At 43.1% G+C, this 22877-nt stretch overlaps 1 protein-coding gene and 1 non-coding gene across 2 annotated transcripts in view; one reads left to right on the forward strand and one right to left on the reverse strand.

Moving 5' to 3' along the window:
- The window catches only part of RPH3A (rabphilin 3A), a 323646-nt gene that overhangs the window by 100211 nt on the left and 200558 nt on the right, over positions 1-22877 (forward strand). The window lies entirely within an intron of this gene.
- MIR1302-1 (microRNA 1302-1) lies at positions 19588-19730 on the reverse strand. Its single transcript, NR_031631.1, has one exon. It is a non-coding gene; the product is annotated as a microRNA 1302-1 (primary transcript).

A 22877-nucleotide genomic window follows, 5' to 3' on the forward strand; every position in this document is an offset into this window, starting at 1 on the left:
AACCATATAAATATAGAGATGATTCTCCTCATCTTGCAGGTGAGAAAACTGAGACATAAGAGGCTTAAATGACCTGCTCAAGGTCCTCCTTCTCGTAGAAGGCAAAGCCTGGGTTTAACACAAGTTGGTTTGATTCAAAAGCGCATTCTTTTATTTTTGCTTTGCTTTATTACTCCAAAGAGGGCAAAAGTTTGTTTGGGAAGGTTTTTTGAGGGATCCTTGACCCCTGGGAGGCCTTGCTTTATGACTCTGGTTGTATCTGAAGGGCTGAAATTTTGGTGCAGGTATATGTTGCTGTCTGTGCAAAATTGCATTCTTAAAAATTGGATATTTTCAGGGTCATATGAGCCAGTTCTGGTGGTTCTATCAGTGAGGGTCCTATCAGGAAAATAGAAATGACACTGAGTTTTTAAGACAGAGAGATGTAAATGCAGGAACTGTTTAAATAGGGGGTGATGATGAAATCAGAGATCCAGCCATGGCAGAAAGCTGTCACTCCCTGAGGCTTGTGGGACAGAGAAAGGAAGGTAGAGTTCAGGAGCTGAGATCTCCTGGTGGAAGCTGGAGCCTGGGCAGTCCTGCCTGGCAGGAGCTGGAGCCACAGAGGAGATGCAACTCCTGTGAGGAAATCTGTCTGCGGCCCAGACTGGGGAGAAATATCCTGGCTTCTCCCTTCCTTGTGCCCTCTGATCTCTACGTGGGCCTCCCGTTGGCAGAATGGACCTGAAGCCAGTTAGCAAAGGAGCCCAGGCAACACCGAGAGGAGGGAGGCAGGATGTCCTCTGAGGGTAGACAGGGGTCCCAGGCTGGGACAGATGTTAACAGGATGCATACCATGCATCAGATTTACTTTCCCACTGTCTTGCCTTACAATGTCACCCAGGCTGTGTGCTCATTTCTGAGGTTCCCTACCAGCCACCAACACTTGGGTGCAAGGGCTCTTGGCCGAATCTGCTCATCAAAGCTGCCTTGGGCTTTCTCACCAAGTCTCTTCTCTGCTTTTCTCCCCAGCAGGGTTAAACTCACAAAGAAAACTGCAATCTTGGTGTGACTTTACTTGATTTCAAAATTGGATTCTGGCCCCAGATAATAACTTTAGATGCCAATAAGAGAGCGACTAGGCCTTCCTTTAAAATGCCACTTCATTCCCTTTTGTCGGCTCCCAGGAGCTCTCTGGAGGAAACCTGAAGAGGTGGGAGGAAATTGTGCAGGGAAAGGGCCCTTTTGCTGAGAGTAGTAAATTATTCAGGTACTCTAATGGCTTGGAGAATGCCAGGCCCGTCTCCCTCTTAGAGCACACCGTAGGCAGTGCTAATGACAGCTGGAAAAATGCCTTGCTCTGTGCATATGCAGAGAGACATCCTGGCATTCCTGTGAGCTCTTCTTGGAGGCTGGGCTGGACAGAAAGAGAAGCAGCTGGAGATTAAATGACAATATTAGGGAGGAAGGTTGAGGAAGAATGAGGGGCAAGGTAGCTTTTCTGCCTTGCTAACGATAAACACACTCTGGCTAGCCTGTATTTTTTGGATTTCTCCTGTGTGAGGTTCTCCGGTTCAGGAATTACCGCTGGCTGCAGAGTGATGTTTTCTGTGTTGATTTTTGATAGAGCTTCTTTATGGATCTGTAAAAAGATAGTTCCTCTCTGGTGAAGAGCCCAAGAAGTTGAGCAACTGGAAAAAAAATTACACCCAGCAAAGGAACCCCATGGTTTTTGGAGGCTGACACATCAAAGCCCTCTTGTGGAACAGGCCTTGCTTACAAGTGCGGCAAACAGGACCCAGCTCTCATCAAGGGTAATGGTGAAAACAAAAATAAAACAAGTACCATGGGACCCAGTGTCAAGAGCTTGAGCTTTCGCAGCACATAGGTGTGGAGCCTGTCATTTTCCCTCCCTCCTTCCCTTCCTCCCTCCCTCCCTCCCTCCTTCCCTTCCTCCCTCCCTCCCTCCCTCCCTCCCTCCCTCCTTCCCTCCTTCCTTCCTTCCTTCCTTCCTTCCTTCCTTCCTTCCTTCCTTCCTTCCTTCCTTCCTTCCTTCCTTCCCTCTTTCTCTTTTTTAGAGTTAGGGTCTTGCTCTGTCTCCTGGCATCAAATGATCCACCCGCCTCAGCCTCCTAAAGTGCTGGGATTACAGTTGTGAGCCACCCCACCCTGCGAGCCTGTAATGTTCTACCTGGATGACCTCGAATAGGTTGTTTGACAACCTAAGCCTCAGTTTCCTCTTCTGTAAAATGGAAACAAAATGAATCCCCACCTCACAGAATCCTGGCTTAAAAAGTATATGATGCTTGCAAGGCACACAGCCCAGAGCTTGGCACACGGCAAAGCAGCTAGCCTCGGCAGCCATTATCCTTGTGATTAATTCAGCAAACTCTAGAATGAGTTTTTCTCTCCAGGTGACAAAGTCTGTACTTGAGTTTTTCTTAATCCAGAACCTAGAACCAGAGATTAGAAATACAAGGGCAGGCCAGGCGTGGTGGTGCATGCCTGTAATCCCAGCACTTTGGGAGGCCAAGGTGGGTGGATCACTTGAGGCCAGGAGTTCGAGACTAGCCTGGCCAACATGGTGAAACCCTGTCTCTACTATTAGTAAAAATACAAACATTAGCCAGGCATGGTGGTGCATGCCTGTAGTCCCAGCTACTCAGGAGGCTGAGGCAGGAGAATCACTTGAACCTGGAAGGCGGAGGTTGCAGTGAGCTGAGATTGCACCACTGCACTCCAGCCTGGGCAACAGAGCAAGACCCTGTCGAAAGAAAGCAGCCTGGGCAACAGAGCAAGACCCTGTCGAAAGAAAGAAAGAAAGAAAGAAAGAAAGAAAGAAAGAAAGAAAGAAAGAAAGAAAGAAAGAAAGAAAGAAAGAGAGAGAGAGAGAAAGAAAGAAAGAAGGAAGGAAGGAAGGAAGGAAGGAAAGGAAGGAAGGAAGGGAAAGAAAGAAAGAAGAAACAAACAAACACAAGGGCAGTTATGAGGACAAGAGGAAAGGATATCTGAAACTTGATCGGCCTTGAATATCTAGGGTCTTTGTTCAGTCTGTGTTTAAAAGCAGAGGTAACGAAACAAATGCAGTCATATTGACAACACCAAGAAAATCAATGCCACGGAGGGTTTTCTATCAGGAAAAACATTTATTTATTCCTGCTTGGACTCATCTCCTGTTAAAATCTATAATGGTCTGGAAGTAGCCAGTTGTTTTCACCTGTTTTGCAGAACAGGCTGGAAGTAGGGAAGAAACCTGACGCAGGATTTAACAGCCTTTCAACAAATAATATTGGGTGCTGACTCCATGTCAGGTGTGGCGCTCAGAGGAGATGGGGACGGGACACAGCATCGTCATAGCATTGTCATATGTCTTCCTATATAACTCACAGTCTACTGGGGAAGCAGACCAGAAAACTAAGAATTGCAATTCTGCGTGACAGATTAGATAGAGCCCTGGAGCCTGTGAGAAGGGGTCTGTGTTCCGGGTGCTCTAATATTTTTCTTCTGTTTTTCTTTGTCCTTTCTGTCTCTATCCTTGGGCTACAAGCCACTCCACTTCCATTTTTCTCTTTTTGCAAACATCAGAATGCCAACTTCATTTCCATGGACCAACCTGCCCCCCACTGCAGGCTGGAACACACTCGCCCTGTGTGTCTGTTCTCTCCTGGAAGACAGAGTTTGTGGGAAGCCATGTGAAGGTGAGAGGATCTCTGGAGTTCCTTTACTTACCACACTTTTTTTTTTTTGAGACGGAGTCTCATTCTGTTGCCCAGGCTGGAGTGCAGTGGCGCAGTCTCGGCTCACTGCAACCTCTGCCTCCTGGGTTCAAGTGATTCTTCTGCCTCAGCCTCCCGAGTAGCTGAGACTACAGGCGCATGCCACGAGGCCCAGCTAATTTTTTGTATTTTTAGTAGAGATGGGGTTTCACCATGTTAGTCAGGATGGTCTCAATCTCCTGACTTCATGATCCTCCTGCCTCAGCCTCCCAAAATGCTGGGATTACAGGCTTGAGCCACCGTAGACTCTCACTCACTCTGTCCCCCGGTCTGGAGTGCCGTGGCGCAATCTTGGCTCACTGCAACCTCCACCTCCCGGATTTAAGCAGTTCTCCTGCCTCAACCTCCTGAGTAGTTGGGATTACAGGCGTGCACCACCACGCCCGGCTAATTTTCATATTTTTAGTATAAATGGGGTTTCACCATTTTGTCTAGGCTGGTCTTGAGCTCCTAACCTCAAGTGATCCTCCCGTCCTGGCCTCCCAAAGTGCTAGGATTACAGGCATGAGCCACCACACCCGGCCTACTTACCAGACTTTTAATGAGGCTGTGCCAGGGGTTTGTCATACAAGGGTGAGGGCAAAACTCATGGTCTGCTCTCAGGAAGCTCACAGGCTAGTGGGGGTGGAGAGGTGGGCAAAACCCATGGGAACAAACAAGTAAGCAATGATGAATGTGCTGAGTGTCTTGAAGGAAAGAGGAAGAGGGTTTGACACAGACTGACAGTGAGTGGCCGGCTTTGGACAGGGCTGTCAGGGAAACCTGAGATGGGGCATTTTAGCCGAGATGTGCAGGACAATGGGTAACCAGGCTTGGGAAGAGCAGAGGGAAGTATGTTCCAGGCAGGGGCACAGCATGTGCAAAGACCTAGGTGGGGAATCAAGGAATGGGGGCAGAAAAGGCTATGGGGATGCAGTGATGTGAATGAGGGGCGAGTGGTATATGCTGAGCCTGGAGCGGTGAGCAGGGCTGGATTGTGCAAGACCTCAAGGCTGCAGGAAGAAGTTGGGATTTAATTTTTAATTGGAGAGTTTTATGTGGTTGAATAATATAACTGGCTTTGGGTCCCAAAAGATCACTGCGATTACAGGGTGGAAAATTTCCTCCTACGACATTTAGGTGATTGTAAAAAGTGCTCCTTTGCTATAAATAGCAGTGGCAGCTGCAGTTTATTCATTTGCTCTGTGGACATTCACTGAGCACTTGCCATGTGCCAGACACTTAGCATGTTCCAACCACCCTGGGAATGAGGTATATCGTTACCACTCCCATTTAATAGATGAGGAAACTGAGGCCCGGAGAAGTCAAGTTACCTGCCCAAGGTCACACAGCTTGAAAGCAGTAGAGCTGGCATTTGAACCCAGGCAGTCTGGCCCCAGCATCTCTGTACCTACCATTCCCATCCCACCACCTCTCTAGTTACTCCACTGGCCCTGCCCATTCCTATCTCCTCCCTCCTCTACCCCACAGGACTTCTGGTTACCCAAAGAAGACATAAACCTTGTTAAGACCTAAACATCAGACTCAGGACATGCATAGCCCTCCTTTTTCTCTTGATCAATTTTGCCTGTCTCCCACAACATTCATCTCTTTCCCTGGTTCAGTTAGCATCCTGCACCATCATTTTTAATGCTGATAGCTTCCAATTTTGCTTCCTTCTCCTCCTCCTTCTCTTCTTTCTCCTTTTCTTTCTCTTCCCTTCCTCTTCTTCTCCTCTGTCTTCCTCCCCCTCTTTCTTCTTCTCCAATCCCCTCTTCCTTGCTTCTTCTTCTCGCATTGCTCCCAAACCGTTATTTGGTTCTAAGGTTTGAAGTGCCTGTCCCTATGAAGGAGAGGAGAAAGAGGCTCTGCTGGATTCCTCTCTGCCTACTCTGGCCCACTGCGTCCCTAACTGAGCATCTTCCTTCACAAAACCCTTCCTGCTCTGGGGCTCTGCATCTTGGTAAACAACACCTCCACCTCCCCAATGGCCAAGCCAGAATCCCCTGTATGATCCTTGCTGCCACCTCTCTGCTGCCCGCTTCTCACTTCCAATCATCCGCCTTCTGAAGAGTTCCTCCCTCTCCAGGCCTGACTGCCCTTTGTGGCCTTCCCCCTGCATCTCTGCTTCAGATGTGCCCCTGCAGGTCTGCAACCCATTCTCACCCAGCAGCCAAGAAGCTGAAACACACACATCGGATTGCTTTAATATTACTCTCCTGCCTAAACCTCTTAGTGGCTTCTAATGGATTCTTCTGTCCACTCTTCTGGACATAAGCCTGGGACTCTACACTGAGAGGTTTAGGCAGGAGAGTAATATGAGACTGGCTGTGTTTCTACTGTAAGCCACCACCATCTCTTCCCGAATGCTTCAATAACCTCCTAACTGCCTTTTCCATCTCACTGTCTACATTACGGATAGTAGTGTCCACATTACAGGAATTATGTTAATTTTCATTTTAGTGAATAATGACTTTTTTGAGGGGGGGCTTAAAGTGAAATATATTAATCATGAGATATTTAAGCAGTTCAGAAAGATCCAAAGAATGAGATAAAAATGAAATCCTCTGACATTCCACCAATCCAGCAACAATCAAAGCTGACTTGGGCAAGCAGATAAAAGTGACATTTTAAAAACACAAATCTGTTGGTGCTTCTCTCTCAATTAGAACTTTTAAAGAACAGCTTCCCTTTGCTGCCAGGATAAATATCGACATTTTTTAGCATGGCTTGCAAAGCTTTAGAAACTCTAGACCTTGACATCTTGCTACACTTTCTCTCTCATTCTTTTTGCCCCTTGGTTCCACAAATGGTGTTTGGATTAGTCGGGACAAGACCAGCTGCTGCAACAAATAAGCCTGTAAGTTTCAGTGTCTTAACACATTAGTTTCTTTTTCTTGTTCAGGTGAATGTAGGTTGTATTAATCAAGATTCTTCAGAGAAACAGAACTGATAGTGTATATATAGATATATAAGAGGGGATTTATTATGGGAACTGGTTTATGTGATTCTGGAGGCCAAGAAGTTCCATGATATGCTGTCTGTGACATGGAGAACCAGGGAAGCCGGGTTGAAGACTGAAGAGCTGAGAACCTGGAGTTCTGATGTTTAAGGGCAGGAGAAGATAAATGTCCCAGCTCCAGAAGAGAGCGAATTTGTCTTTTTTCTTTCTTTCTTTTTTTTTTTTTTTTCTGTTCTTGGATGATGCCTACCTACATTGGTGAGGCTGACCTTCTTTACTCAGTCTACTGATTCAAATGCTAATCTCTTCTGAAAATATTCTCACCACATGCCCAGAAATAATGTTTTTACTAGCTATCTGGGTATCCTTTAACCCAGTCAAGTTAACACATAAAATTAATTATCCTATAAATGCACCTGGTCCATGGGTATCTTTCTTTCTTGGGGGGGATTCAGGATCCCAGGCTCCCCCTCTCTTATGGCTCTGCCATCCCTTAGAACTTTGGAGAGCGTCATCCAGCCAGCAGCAGAGAGATGGGGGAGCCACACTTTGACCCAGAAGTGACACCATCACTTCCACACACATGCGTTGGCAGTAATTGGTCCCAGGGACATACATTCCCAGGAACAATGGAATGCTTTAGAAGGAGGAGCATAGATTTTGATGGGCAGTTAACTGCCTCTGCTATGTGCTCTTTCTGCCCAAGGATTCTCATACAAGCTGTATCACCTGCTTGAAATGCTGGTCTCCCACTCCTTATCTGGCTAGCTCCTATTTATCATTCAGGTCTTATCTTAAAACTTATTTTTTCTAGGTAGGTTTAGACCCCATAGAAACTTGCAAATCTCTTTGGTAGCTTTGCATGTGTGCAATTAATTTTTTGGCAGGATTATTTATTTCTGTCTTTCTTGCTAGTCTGTAATCACCACGAAGTGTATCTTATCTGTCTTATTTAGTTCTGTATCTTCAGAGCATGCTCAGGATATAGTAGGTGCTCAATAAATATTTGTTGACTTGGTGGTGGTGTAGGGGGTGGTTACGGGCCGAACTGGGATCTGACATTTGGGAGAGTATTTAATGACCTTGATCATTAAGAAACGTTTTGTAGCAGGTTGAAGATTTTAAAAAGACCATGAGTGTTCTTGACTGTGATCTTGTTAATGGAAACATCTATCCTTCTACTCTGTTTCTTGTCACAAACCCCACAGCCACATAATACACTGAGTGAGTGAGTCACAGGCTAGGTAGGGGTCCTACCAAACAGATGGCTCATGGTTTAGGAAAGAAGTTGATATTGCCTTAGTTTGGGTCCCTCTAAAGATGACCCTGAGACAAGGACTAAGGTGCAGGGAGTTTATCTGGCAGATGATTCCAAGGAGGAGGAGTGAGGGACAGGAAGAGTGAACTGAGGATACCAGAAAACCAGCAAGTGTGTTCAATAGAGGGTTACTGCTGTGTGCAACTGGAGCTCCATCCTCTTGGGTACCCTCTGAGTGACTGTGTAGGATATGTTTCAGAATTGTCTCACTGCTGAGTGGGAAAGATGGGGCAATTATTTCACTGATTCCCACACCTCTTTTGTTGATGACGGCCCTGGGGATGTTAAATCTTCAACTCTTCAGGATTGGGCCTGATCTTGCCATACTGGAGAAAGCTCCCAGGCAGAGAGAGTGGGCACTTAAGGAGAGAACTGGTCAACCTGCATGGTGGGCCTAGGAGAGAGGGGCAGGACATTGACAGTGTCTTCTATAATTTCTTTATTAATAATGGTTCTAAGCTTGTTACATATCAGAGCTGTTTAAAAGGCTATTTCTTTTCTGATTATAAAATTATTATTCTCATCGATTTTCTGATGATAAAATACATATGTGATTATATATGTATCTATCTCTACATATAGATATATAGGCATCTATCTGTATCCATATATATAGATATCGATATGATCATAGTTGATTAGATATTTCCATTAGACTGATTCCTAAGAGTAGAGTTGTGTCAAAGGTGTACATGTTAACATATTGACAGACATTCCAAATTGCGCTCCTAAAACATTGTACCAGTTTAGAATCCTGCCAAAAACATATGAGAATATCTATTTTTATTGTTTTTTTGTTTTGCTTTTGTTTTTTTTGAGACAGGGTCTCACTCTGTCACCCACACTGGAGTGCAGTGGTACAATCTCGGCTCACTGAAACCTCTGCCTCCTGGGTTCAGGCGATTCTCCTGCCTCAGCCTCCTGAGTAGCTGGGATTACAGGTACCTGCTACCATGCACAGCCAATTTTTGTTTTCTTTTTTTTTTTAGTAGAGACAGGGTTATGCCATGTTGGCCAGGCTGGTCTCACATTCCTGACCTCAAGTGATCCACCTGTCTCAGCCTCCCAAGGTACTGGAGTTACAGGCATGAGCAACCACACCTGGCCGAGAATATCTATTTTTAATTATCTTCATTAATTCTGCAAAAGATCAATCTCCTGTTAATCTGATGAAACATTAATTTAAATACAAATTTATATGGCTATTAGGGAGGCTGAGTATCTATCTTAAATTGGTTAGTTATTTTTCTACTTTCTATTGCTGTGTTCATTTTTTATTTTTCCTACTGGTGTCTCAGTCCATTCAGGCTGCTACAACAAAAATGTCTTAGACTGGGTAATTTACAAATAGTAGAAATTTATTGCTCACAGGTCTGTAGGCTGGAAAATCCAAGATCAAGGTGCCAGCAGATTCAATGTCTGGTAAGGGCTTGCTTCTTCATAGATGGTTTCTTCTCTACGTCCCCACCTGGTGGAAGGGACAAACAGGCTCCCTCAAACCCTTTTCTTTCTTTTTGCTCTGTCACCTAGGCTGTAGTGAAGTGGCATGATCATGGCCCAGGCTCATGCAATCTTCTAGCCTCAGCCTCGCTCACCACCTTCAGTAGCTGGGACTACAGGTGCATGCCACCATGCCTGGTTAATTCTTTAATTTTTTGTAGAGATGGGTTCTCACTATGTTGCCCAGGCTGGTCTCAAACTCCTGGGCTCAGGGGATCTTCCTACCTCAGCCTCCCCAAGTGGTGGGATTACAGGCATAAGCCATTGCACCTGGCTCAAACAAACCTCTTTTATAAGGGCACTAATCATATTCATGAGACTCTGCCCTCATCACCTCATTATCCCTGAAGACCCCATTTTTTAATACTAATACATTCCAACATGTGAATTTGGGGAGACACCTATATTCAACCATAGCAGTGGGAGGGATAATTGTACTTAGTAAGTCTCAGCCACTGTGGCTGCTGTTGCTGTTGTCCTATTTTCTCACTGCTGGGAAGAAAGGAAGGTGACAGATGGGAGATCCTGCCTCCAGCCTCACAGACCTGCAATGATGATGAAATCATACTTTTTCTGCACATGTTATTATTCAAGGAGTCACTACCTGGTTCGCTGCCAGAAATCAGTGACCTTTTAAGGGTCGTCTAGTCCTGGGTGTTTCCCAGGACACATCTAGGACATGTCCATCAGTTTTTCCCAGCCTTTGGGCCAGCTGGAGACCCTCAAGGCATGGTTGTTCTCTGGGACACAGTTGTCTATGCCAGCAGCCACAGTGGCTTATCACTTGCCAGCAGCCACAGTGACTTATCTTGCACCTCTCTTTCTTTCATGCTGGAGGATTTCTTCAAATGTCTGATGATTTCTGGTTACCTCTCCATACTTAGAATAAGAGTTTGGAATCTGAGCTGTGATCAACTGGCAGATTTTGTGTTGGGTATTTGAATGGGGAGACAGCTGCCTCCAAATGCAGAGCATGGAGGAGTGTCTCAAAGGCCGTTATTTTCTCCAGGGAAGAAACCACCAATCTCCTGTTCATGTTCTGAGAGCCGAGGTGGAAGAGTGTGTGGGTAGGGAAATCAGACTTCCAATGACTCCCTCGTTCTCCAGGACTATGTCTTATTCCTTAATATCTCTGCTGTCATGGATCTGAGTCTTTCTGGGGTTTTATGGGAACACCTAGCTCTTATATTTCCTAATTCATTCCCTCTGTGATGACTGTAAACTGCCTTCTCCTGATTGCTGTATCAATTTCTTCCTTGTACTTTCATCTTCCAGAACTTGGTTGAAATCTGCTCAGATAATGGAGTTTTCCCCCTTCTCTATCACATGTGTGGTAGATTGTAAAAAATGATCCAAATGATCCCCTGCCCCTGAACCCATGCCCTTGCAATGCCTTATACCCCAACCAGTAGACTGAAGTCTATTTATTCATTTATTTATTCAGTCAGGGTCATCCATGTGGCTTGCTTTGGCCAATGAGACATTACCAAATAAGATGCATGCGGGGGCTTGAAAAGTGCTCGTGCATCAGGGCTTTACCTCTCTTGTTGCTCTTGGAAAGGTGCCACCATATGAATCAGCCTGGGCTAGCCTGCTGGAGGATGAGAGGCACATGGCACAGTCTTCCCTGCCAGCTGACATTCAGTCAACTTCCAGATATGCAAGTGAGGCCATCCAGGACCAGCCAGCCACCAGCCAATTCCCCAGCCTACTGCAGATGTATGAGAGAGCCCAGCTGAGATCATTCAGTAGCTTCTACAGAATCAAGGGCTAAATTAATGGTGGTTGTTTTAAGTCACTGAGTTTTGGGGATGTACTATGCAGCAATAGATCACTGGTATGCCATGGCTCTATACATTTTCAGTTTTTTAACTGAATTATAAAGGGATGGCTGGGTGCAGTGGCTCACGCCTGTAATCCTAGTGCTTTGGGAGGCTGACGTGGGAGGATTGCTTGAGCCCAGAAGTTTGCGACACCGTCTCTGCCAAAATAAAAAGTATAAAATTTAACTAGGCATGGTGGCACACACATGTAGTCCCAGCTACTAGGGAGGCTGAAGTGGGAGGATGGCTTGAGCCCAGGAGTTCGGGGGTGCAGTGAACTACGATTGCACCACTGCACCACTCCAGCCTGAGTGACAGAGTGAGACCCCATTTTTTTTAAGCATTTGGCTGCAAGTAAGAGAAAAACCTAACAGTGGTTGAAACAAATAGGGTTTACTATTTAAGAAATCTGCAGTTGCTTTTTAAGAAGTCTAGACAGGCAGTTGCTGGTATTGGTTCAGCTTTTCAATGGGGGATATCAAGGACCCAGGCTCTTTTTATCTCTTCTCTAGCCTCTTCAGCATGCCTATATTTACCTTCGTGCTTGTCCCTTAGTGTTGCCAAGATGATCTCCACACTCTGGGATGCATGTCCACTTCAAAGGAGGAAGGAGGAAAGGGGCTGTAGTGGCCAGTCTGGAAGTCAAAGATTTTCCCAAAGGCCCTATTGGCCAGATCTGAATCACATGGTTATCCCTGCTGCAAAGGAGGCTGGGGACATGAGACTCTGATTTAGTTGGTCAGGGAGAAGGAGATTTGGAATGACTATCAGACCAGCCAGTGAGTACTGTCTACCACGTGTGCTATCATTGAAGGGGGGAAAGGAATAAGCATGTGTAATTAATTTTCCATCCTCCACCCAAACCTGATGACCCATGTCCATTCCCTGCTCCTGCTGCCAGATTGTGGATGCCATTGCTTCTGAAACAAACATGTGGGGGTGTTCTTTGCTTGAAGCCAACCTCTTCACCTCTGAGTGACACTAGGTGACCTCAGACTCTTTCATCCATTGGTATATGGGCCAATGTCCCTTAGACCAGAGTTAGCAAGAAGTTCCTCCCTTCCCTGGTCCAAAGGCCCACCCCATTTCTTTGCTCATCCAAAACTTTTTTAGGATAATTCAGAGTAGGAATATCTACTCCCTTTATATAAACATTCCAGCTTCAACAATCATGCTGTGGTCTACCCCCAAGGCCCAAAAGGACAGCTCACAAAATAGTTTAACATTCCCTAAAGTCTTATTCAGTGTCATTTCTGATCACCTTGATATAAAATATTTAGCAGGATGTAAATGTATAGTTATACCCTGAAATCATTTACATTGAAAATATTGTGACCTTAACGTGTTGTTGAAAGAACACAAAATCCTTTCTAGAACTGAAGGACAGACACTTCCACTTACAGATAGGAAATTTTTGAATTGAGGTCTATGCACCATTAGTCCATGGGATTTTAGAGGAATATTATTTCCAAATATTGTATACCCCAGGATTATGTCAAAATGTTGTGTATAAAGGCAGGTATGCATTCTTTTGGGGAGAAGGTTTTCATTAGAGATGCTGTATTCTAGGAGAGAGACCTAGCAATCACTGATTTAGAGGAACTCCCAGAGGCTGGGAGGATCAGAAGTGGTTTGGAATCAAAATCATAGCCGTGAACCTCAAGGATTGTGACTTTTAATGATCATCCATTTTTCAAAGAATATTCCATCATGTTCTTGTTCTTTAGTGTCCATATCTGTATAGTAAGTCTGGTGAACACACATACCTGTTAAAGCCCATAGGTCTATAAGGATATTCCCTGCTTAAAAATATGAATCCTGAAAAAAACCAATGGGAACAAGCTTTTACTTAGTACCTACTAAGTGCTTGGTGCTGTGTACAGGGTTTTATCTGTATGGACTTATTTGATCAGTCCTTCATTGAGTTAGGTTTTATAATTCCCATTTGATTAATGAAGAAACTCTACCTTTCATTAGGAGGTATGTCAAAGAATTTCCAGCCATTCTTTAAAATCAGCACAACTCTTATCTCTCCATCTTTTCTTAGTGGAATGCCTTGAATACAAGAACTGCTCAATACATGTTTGTTAAATAAAAATTTATAAGTGGAGGAGCTGAGTCCCAGAGAGGGGATGTATCTTATTCAAGTCCTCCCTGCTAGTAAGTGGTTGCACACTTACTAAGAAAGACTAAAATTTAGATCTTTTAACACTGTGACTGACTTGCTATCATCAACTCCATATACTTTTCTTTTTCTCATGCAATTTTAATAATAGAAATAATTTTGTAAGAGCAAATAAACAATGTGTCTGAATTTGCTTTATTTGACTCAGATGAGAAGTTGCAAACTCAGATGTCTATAGTGGCCTGACAGGTAACCTGAATGACTAAAGTGATCCATGTGTAAGAAGGTAAATGGCCATCAAAACTTGACCATGGAATTGGGAGACAATAGGGAGTGGTGGGGACTGTGGTGAACAGGAGAGCCCATGCCCTATTACTTAGCCACAAGTTGAGGTTGCCAAGTGGCTCCATGTGCCCAGAGAACTGCCATATCTTCAGATTTTTCAAGAGAAACTGAGAATCCAAATTGTGGAGTAAAATCTCCCTATTTATAAGTACTGTATGGGTAACAAATTCCAATTTAAAGCACTATGAAGACCGTATATATTCAAAGCTAAATAAAACATTTGTGGGCCAAATTCCCCAACCCAGGCTGCTGATTTGTAACCTCTGATTTGGAGTTTGGGCTTTTCATAGGGACATTTGATATTGGATAATTTCTAATTGTAAGCTGGAAACTTGTGTTAATTTGGGTCAGACAATTCTTCAACAATTTTCTGCAATTTGAAATAAGTCAGGACACAGATAAGAAAACAAATGACGCTTGAACACAGGTGCAGACAATACAACAGGGAAGCCTGTCTACCTCTGCTGAAGGCTGATTTTTCCCCTGGGCCATTCAAAGGCACTGCAGGACAGGGAGAGGACAGGAGTAGGGAGAAGATGGAGAGAATGGATCACTTGCATTGCTGAAAATATCTCTACAACAGATCTGTAAAAGCAAATAAGGTAATGAAACCTTAAGCTCAAAAATCTGTTTTTTGGGTGACAAGGTTATGTTCTGTGAATATTACACTATGGAGAAGCCCAGATCTTAAATCGTGGGTTCCATACACTTTTTAAAAGAGGAGACTGATGCTTTTCTGAAAAGTGAGGAGGGGATATTTTCCTTTAGAATATTTTAGTTTTCTTCCAAAAATGTAAGAAGTACTAACAACACAGGGATTGTCCCATTTAATGTTATAAACGATCATCCTTCTTACTGTTTTTCCTTCCATTTAAGTAACAAATACCATTTGTAGAAAAGTTGGAAAATTGGTTAAGCATAAAAATAAAACATAAAACATCATAATCTTACTTCCAAGAAGAAATCATTTAAAAAATTGGTTTGAAATATATCCTTCCAATTTTCTTTGTGCATGTTAGTGGCCATTGTGAGCTTTGGGAAGCTTTAGGTGGTATCTGGTTAAGTTGGTAAGCCAAGGGGCTCAGCCACCCCTTTTGTCCCAAGGTTTTCCATGCAAAGGAGTGCACACGAAACAATGGGGAAGAAAGTGCCATGCTACAGTTAGCTGGGCTTGTGCTGAAACCCCAGTGAGGCTCTTTTTGGTAAGCTGGGGCACATGGCTTATTACCAAGATGTATTAAGGGATCTTTGTCCTTCCCCAAGTCCAGTCTGAATCTTGGAGTCTTATATCCCTCTGACCACATGGGACAGGTGACTGAAGAGATGAGAATCCATCGATGAAAGAGTATGATGTAAGAAGAACACACCTATTAGAACATAGCTTCCCCACCCACTGGTAAATATGGACCAATCAATGTCCGTTGGAATTGGACCCAACGAGATCAGGGTTCCTGCCTCTTGGGGAGGAGTGGGGTTAAGGAAGGGAAGAGGGAAGAGCAAATGGATTTCCACTTGCCGTATGTATACAAATATTTCTTTTTACAAGATGGGATCACATTATGTTTATTGCATGCACAATCATTTGTCTTTTTCACTCAACAATGCCTCATGACTCTCTTCATTCCAAAAGCATGGGGGGGATACTTGAAGGGGCAGGAAAGGAGAGGGTAATTGTACTTATCCTATATAAATCTACACATTCTGACAAAATGGGCTCATGTAGTTCACATTGTATCCTTTGATCCCCCCCGCCCCCGCACTGAAATATCATGACCATCTTTTTTTTTTTGAGACGGAGTCTCGCTCTGTCGCCCAGGCTGGAGTGCAGTGGCGTGATCTCAGCTCACAGCAAGCTCCGCCTCCCGGGTTCAGCCACTTTCCTGCGTCAGCCTCTCCAAGTAGCTGGGACTACAGGCGCCCGCCACCACGCCCGGCTAATTTTTTATATTTTTAGTAGAGACGGGGTTTCACCGTGGTCTCGATCTCCTGACCTCGTGATCCGCCCGCCTCGGCCTCCCAAAGTGCTGGGATTACAGGCGTGAGCCACCGCGCCCAGCCTTGACCATCTTTCAGTGTAAAAAAAAGCCCAGAAATCTCTAGGGGGAGGACTGAAAGGAGAAGTGGGGGAGGAATAAGGCCATTTACCACATTTACATGTGCACACCTATAAAATGAGATCCTGCTGAGCATATGGTGCAATAACTTGCTTTTATTTTTACTTAAAAACATTATGAACATCTTTCTGTGTCCAGAAGTACAGTACCCTTTTGGTGAACACTGCATCCCTTAGTGCCATTAATTTTTACAGCTCTGTTATTTTTTAACATCTGTAATTTCCTATGAATCCTAGCTCAACTGGACACTATGTACCTTTGGCCAAATTATTTACCTTCCCTTAGCCTTAGCGTCTTCACCTGCAAAATGAGAATAACTCTACTTGCCTTAAACAGCTATTTTGAGAATATCTCATTAAATGAGATAAGGCCTGGGAGCTAAAAGTAGTGATAGGATAGATTTCATTTTTGTCTGCCTCCTGAGTTCCAGACATCCCACTTTAAGTGCAATATGTCATTGAGTTCTCAAAATGATTTTAATTGCTGGACACCATCATTCCATTTTACAGATGAGAAATTGAGGTTCAGTGGGGGCAAGGTACACTGTCCAATAGAAATAGAATGTGACAGATGATTGGATTTTTAAAAAATGTGTTATATATACACCGTGGAATACTACTCAGCCATAAAAAGGAATGAAATTCTGTCATTTGAAGTGAAATGGATGGAACCGGAGGGTACTATGTTAAGTGAAATAAGCCAGGAACAGAAAGTTAAACATCACACATTCTCACTCATATGTGGAAGCTTAAAGTTGGCCTCAAAGAAGTAAAAGTACAACAGTGGATATTAGAGGCTGGGAAGCGTAGGGGAAAGATGGAGATGGGGAGAGATTTGTTAAAGAATACAAAATTACAGCCAGATAGGAGGAATAATTTTTAGTGTTCTATAACACTACAAGGATGACTATAGTTAATAATGATACATAGTTTCAAATAGCTAAAAGGAGGATATTGAATGTTCCCAACATAAATGATAAATCTTTGAAATAATGAATATGCTAATGACTTTGAGCTGATCACTATATATGTATCAAATCAGCATTATATATCCCGTAAATATGTACAGTTATTCTGTGTCAATTAAAATAAAAGAAATTGAATGTGAGTCAATTCTGACCAGCCAAATTTCAAGTGCTCAACAGCCACTTGTGGCCAGTGGCTACCATATTGGACAGTTCAAGATTAAGAGACTTGCTTAAGATCATGCACCGAGAAAGTGACAGAGCCTGGGGGTGAACACCAATTTGTCTGATTTCAAAGCCACTTTCTATACCACACTAATGTCCACTGAATGGGTAGAGAAAATGCTGGATGAATCTGCATTGGGAGGGAATGGGAAGGTCAGTGATGTTCCCAGGTTACCCTTGAATTTGTCCTTTTAGCTACATCCTCTTTGCCACAGTTTTTCTTTTGCCCCATTTCTTCAGTCTGGGCCACTGTGCTATCATTAGTCATAGCCTTTAGTGATTGAGTGCCTCTTGTGGAGCATGAAGACAAGTTGATATCCTGAGCATGAACACCATGCAGGTCTTGTCATGCCTGCTCCTGCCCCCGATGCTGATGGGAATCATTTGGGTTGACTAGCAGAGAGCACATAGGAAAACACAAATGAATACAAAGAGTTTGGAAATGACAAGACCCGGGAAGGACTGGGTGCCATTCAGCTAGGTTTCTATTCATGAGTCTAATGCAAGACTTCCCTTGGCTCATTCAGAAAAAATAGAGCAGCTTGGTTTTTGACTCTTGCTCAGAGTTTTAAAATAAATGTTGACACCATACTGTCCAGGGATCAGCATTTGAATCTGGCATTGACATTTCCTTCAGCAATTTCTTGGTTTGTACTGTCTACAGATGTATTGTGACCCATTGGATGGTATTTACTTTGGCTTATATTGGTTTTGACATCAGAAGCAGAGAGTTTGTGCATGACACAGCTGTCACTCTGGCTGGTGACATGGGGTCACCTTTGACTCAGACTTCTCTTGGATCCTGCTCATCCCACCTGTCATAAAGCTCATCTTCTCCATTTTTGGAGTGATCTTTGGAACCTTTCTGATGCCATTACTTACATTTTCATCCAACATCTCATCCTTGCACTTGGGATAAGTCTGCCTTTCTTACCTTGGTCTACAAGGCCTACATGATTTGTTTTTTCCCACCTCTCTGATTTCAACTGCTTGCCTTCTCCTCTTCACTGCCTTTGCTCCTGCCACGTGGCCCATCTGTTCCCTCTTCAAGGTCCTTTTGTTTATTGCGTCTTCTGCTTTGAATGCTCTCCCTCTGGATCTTTGTATGGCTGGCTCCTTCTGAGCTTCTGGATCTTGACCCAAGCCAAACTTTCCTTCCCTGATCACTTTTTCTAGTGATGCCCCCTGCTCCTCACCATCCCATTATCTAGGTTTATATTTTTCAAAATGCTTACTGCCACCTAAAATCATTGTGCCTATTTATTGACTTGTTTATTTGCCATTTATCTGTCTCTTGTTGGAACATAAGCTTCAGGAGAGCAAAGCCTATTCCCTTCTTGTTCTCCATTGTGCCTTGCACTGATGTTCAGCAGTTAGGATTTGCCCAATAAATATTTGCTGATTGAAGGCCAGGAGCCTTGCAATGGCTTTCTAACTGGTATCTAATTCGCTCTGCACACTCTTACAGGAAAACTCCTCTTGAAGCTGAAAGTGTTTCATCAGCCTGTCAATAAGATTTTGTCAGAAGCTCAGCCCTCTCAGCGCTGCCGCTGCCTGGTTCATACTCCCTGAGTGGCCCTCCTTTGCCTGCGGTGCTCTTCCATGGCTCTCTGTCATCTTCCTTCGCAACACCGCCCCAACTCTTATCTCCAACCTGACCCGTTATTGCTGGACATTGTTTTGAGAATTTGGTGGAATTTGGTGGGAGGATGCAGGGAGTGTCTGAGTCTCACGTGGCCCAGCTGCTCCACCTCTTAGCTGAGGTTTTATGCACACGAGGGGCAGTGACAAATGGGAAAGCAGAGGTCTTCTTAGTGATTATCCGGCAAGTGCCCCACACCTGTACAGGTCTCTGGGGCAAGTGACTTAGTCTCAAGGCCCAAGTGGGACCTCTTATTTCTTCCAAGTGACACTCTTACCACTGGCTGGCCACCAAGCTGAGATTGTCATGCAGCAGCAGCAGCATAAGAAAGGACCAGATGAGGGCGGGGAAAAAGAGAGAGAGAGAGAGACAGAGAGAGAGAGAAAGGCAGAGAGAGAGAGAGAGACAGACAGAGAGAGACAAAGACACACGCACGCGCGCGCGCGCACACGCACACACACACACACACACACACACACACACACAGAGAGAGAGAGAGAGAGATTCTGTTTACTTGAAATGGCCTCTTCTTCCATGAAGCTCTCTTAGATAATTACTTTAGATTTAAGACAAGCTACTTGATCTTTCTCATCATCAATTGCCTCATTGGTAAAACAGGAGATAATGCCAACCCATAGGGCTCTAGTTAAATGTGTGAGTGACGATTAAGTGAGGAAAAGTCTCTAAAATACCTGGCACCATTGTGAAAATCTGAAGTCACTTCATCTATGCTGTTCCCTTCTGCTGTCTGAGTTCTCATCCCTTCTAGCAGTTTGCTGTAAGTTTTATATACAACATTTAGGGAAGGAAATCTATACAGAGTTTTCAGATAAAATACAGGAATCCTAGTTACATTTGAATTTCAGATAAGCAAGGAATAATTTTTAGCATAAGTATGTCCCAAATATTGTATGGGATATTCTTACATACACAATTATTCATTGTTTACTTGAAATTCAAATTTAACTGGGCTTTCTGTGTTTTTGTTTGCTAAATTTTGGCAACCCTAATCCATAGACAAGGATCAGAGATGTATAGACTTAAGATAACTGGTATTGCTTCTGGTGTATATCCTAACCAAAATTCACAGGATGGGATGGCTCACCAAACACGCTTTCATTTTGGAACTTCATTTGGAAAGGTTAACAGTTTTGAAGGAGGAAAAAAAGAAATTTGTTTATTCCAGAGTAAGCACATTTAAAAAAATCTTTTTTAAAAGATTGAGGGTATTGCCTATCTAAAATAATATAGGCCAGTTTCAGAGGTTGATCAATAAAGGAGGAAGTGCTATAGCTCACTGGGAAATCGATTTTGAGTGAAAGGAACAAATGGATCTTAAGCCAAGTCTGATTCCTACCTCTGGGTACCAGCCTGACTTTGTTGCTTGGCTGTGTCTTTGATATTTATGCTATCATTTTATTTCCACATAATCTTGGGAGGCAGGTAGGGGTATCCCCATTATATGGAGTCCTAGAGGTTAAGAGATTGGCCCAAAGATGGCCAGTGGTTGCCCACATTCATGGAAGATTTGCTATGCACAGGGAAAGTGCTAACATATTGCATCCAGGTAGTACTTCTCACGTGTTACATCTCTATCCCAGGAGACCTGGAGTAGTTTTTTTTGCTACTAGTTATCATTTATTATTATTTTTATTTCAGTAGTTTTGAGGGTACAGGTGGTTTTTGGTTACATGGATAAGTTCTTTAGTGGTGATTTCTAAGATTTTGGCACACCTATCATCTGAGCAGTGTACACTGTACCCAATATGTAGTCTTTTATCCCTCACCCCCTCCCAAACTTTTCCCCTGAGTCCCCAAAATTCATGATATTCTTATGACTTTGCATCCTCATAGCTTAGCTCCCACTTATAAGCAAGAGCATACTATATTTGGTTTTCCATTCCTGAGTTATTTCACTTAGAATAGTGGCCTCCAGCTCCATCCAAGTTGCAGCACAAGACATTGTTTTGTTCCTTTTTATGGCTGAGTAATATTCCATGGTGTATATAGACCACATTTTCTTTATCCACTCGTTGGTTGATGGACACTTAGATTGGTTCCATATCTTTGCAATTGCAAATTGTGCTGCTGTAAATGTGTGTGTATGTGTGTTTTCCACATAATGACTTCTTTTCCTTTGGGTAGATACTCAGTAGTGAGATTGCTGGATAGAATGATAGATCTGCTTTTAGTTCTTTAAGAAATCTCTATACTGTTTCCCAGGAGACCTGAACTATTATCATTCCTTTTAACAGATGTACAAGTGGAGGCTCAGGGAGGCCATACATAAGTAAGAATTATGGTGAAGGTGGGACCTCTGGTGGGCCTGACTCTGAAGCTCAGACTCTTCATTGCTAGGTTGTGTGCCTTCTCATCCCAACTCTTCTGACTCCAAGAACAGTTTTCCTTTTGATGTGAATACAGAGAAGAGAGCCAACTCAGAATGAAGGGCTCAGATAGGACTCCAGGAGAAGAGGAGAATTCCCCCATCAAAAAGATGTGCAGCTCTAGATAACTCAGGTTATTTTTCATTTTAAATGGTGAGGTAATTCTTTCCTTCAAAACAAAATCTGTTCTCTTTTTGGTCTCCATCATATCTCTCTCCTACTCTACCTCTTTCAGTATCCAAATAATTTGCCTAGGAGATTGGTAGGACTGGATCAGAAGGCTTCAGCATTTTATGTCATATGCTTTGGTCTTGTTTTCTTTTTTCTTTCTTTTTTTTTTACAGTAAACATGCTTATTCTTTATAATATTAATAGTAACAATGATACTATTTAAGATTTTTAAAAAGCATACATGAGGGCACCTAAGAAAAATCTACAAGTAATATCATACTTAATAACTGACTACTGAAAGCTTTTCCTCTAATATGGGAGCAAGCAAGATTATTCCCCTTTGCCACTTCTGGTCAGGATTTGAGGTCCTACCCATGGCAATAAGGCAAAGAAAAAGGCATACAGTTCAGAAAGGAAGAAATAAAACTGTATTTTCAGGCAACATGATCATGTATGTAGAAATTCCTAAGGAATCTATTAGAAAAATGACTAGAACTCATAAGAGAATTTAGCAAGGTTGCAGGATACAATGGCAATATAAAAAATTTAATTTTACTACTATATACTAGGAATAAGTATTGCAAAATGAGATTTTAAAACAACACTATTTATGATAGTACCAAGAACATGAAAAGCTTAGAAACAGACATAAAATGCTGTAAAGATCTTTACACTGAAAACTATAAACCATTGCTGAGAGAAATGAAGGAAAATCTAAATAAATGCAGAGATATTCCATACTATGGGTCGGAAGACTCAATATTGTTAAGATGTCTAGTCTTCCCAAATTGATTTACAGGCTTAATCTTCACTCAAAATCCAAACAGGGCCAGGCATGGTGACTCACGCCTGAATCCCATCACTTTGGGAGGCTGAGGCGGGTGGATCACTCGAGGTCAGGGGTTGGCAACCAGCCTGGCCAACATGGTGAAATGCTGTCTCTACTAAAAATACAAAAATTAGCCAGGCATGGTGGCATATGCCTGTAGTCCTGGCTACTCGGGAGGCTGAGGCATAAGAATCGCTTGAATCCAGGAGGCGGAGGTTGCAGTGAGCTGAGATCATGGCACTGCACTGCAGCCTGGGTGAGAAGAGTGAAACTCCATCTCAAAAAAAAAAATCCAAACAGACTTTTTTTTTCTTTAAAGAAATTGACAAATGAATTCTAAAAGTTATATGGAAGTGAGAAGGACCCAGAATAGCCAAAATAGTTTTGAAAAAATAAGTTGGAGGATTCATACCACTTGATTTCAAGACTTATTAAAGAGCTACAGTAGTCAATATAAAATGTCATTGGCAAAAGGAGAGAAAAGTAGTTAAATGAAATAAGATAATTGAGAAATAGACCCGCACATATTTAGTCAATTTTTAACAAAGGTGCCAAGACAGTCCAATGAAGAAATAATAGTCTTTTCAACAAATTGTGCTAGGACAATTGGATATCCACGTGGAAATAAATGAACTTCAACCCATATATTACATCATATACAAACATTAGCTCAAAATGGATCAGAAACCTAAATGTAAAACCTAAAGCTCTACAACTACTAATAAAAAAAGGAGAAAA

This window comes from Homo sapiens, chromosome 12 (genome assembly GCF_000001405.40).
Source record: "Homo sapiens chromosome 12, GRCh38.p14 Primary Assembly".
Lineage (NCBI taxonomy): Eukaryota > Metazoa > Chordata > Mammalia > Primates > Hominidae > Homo > Homo sapiens.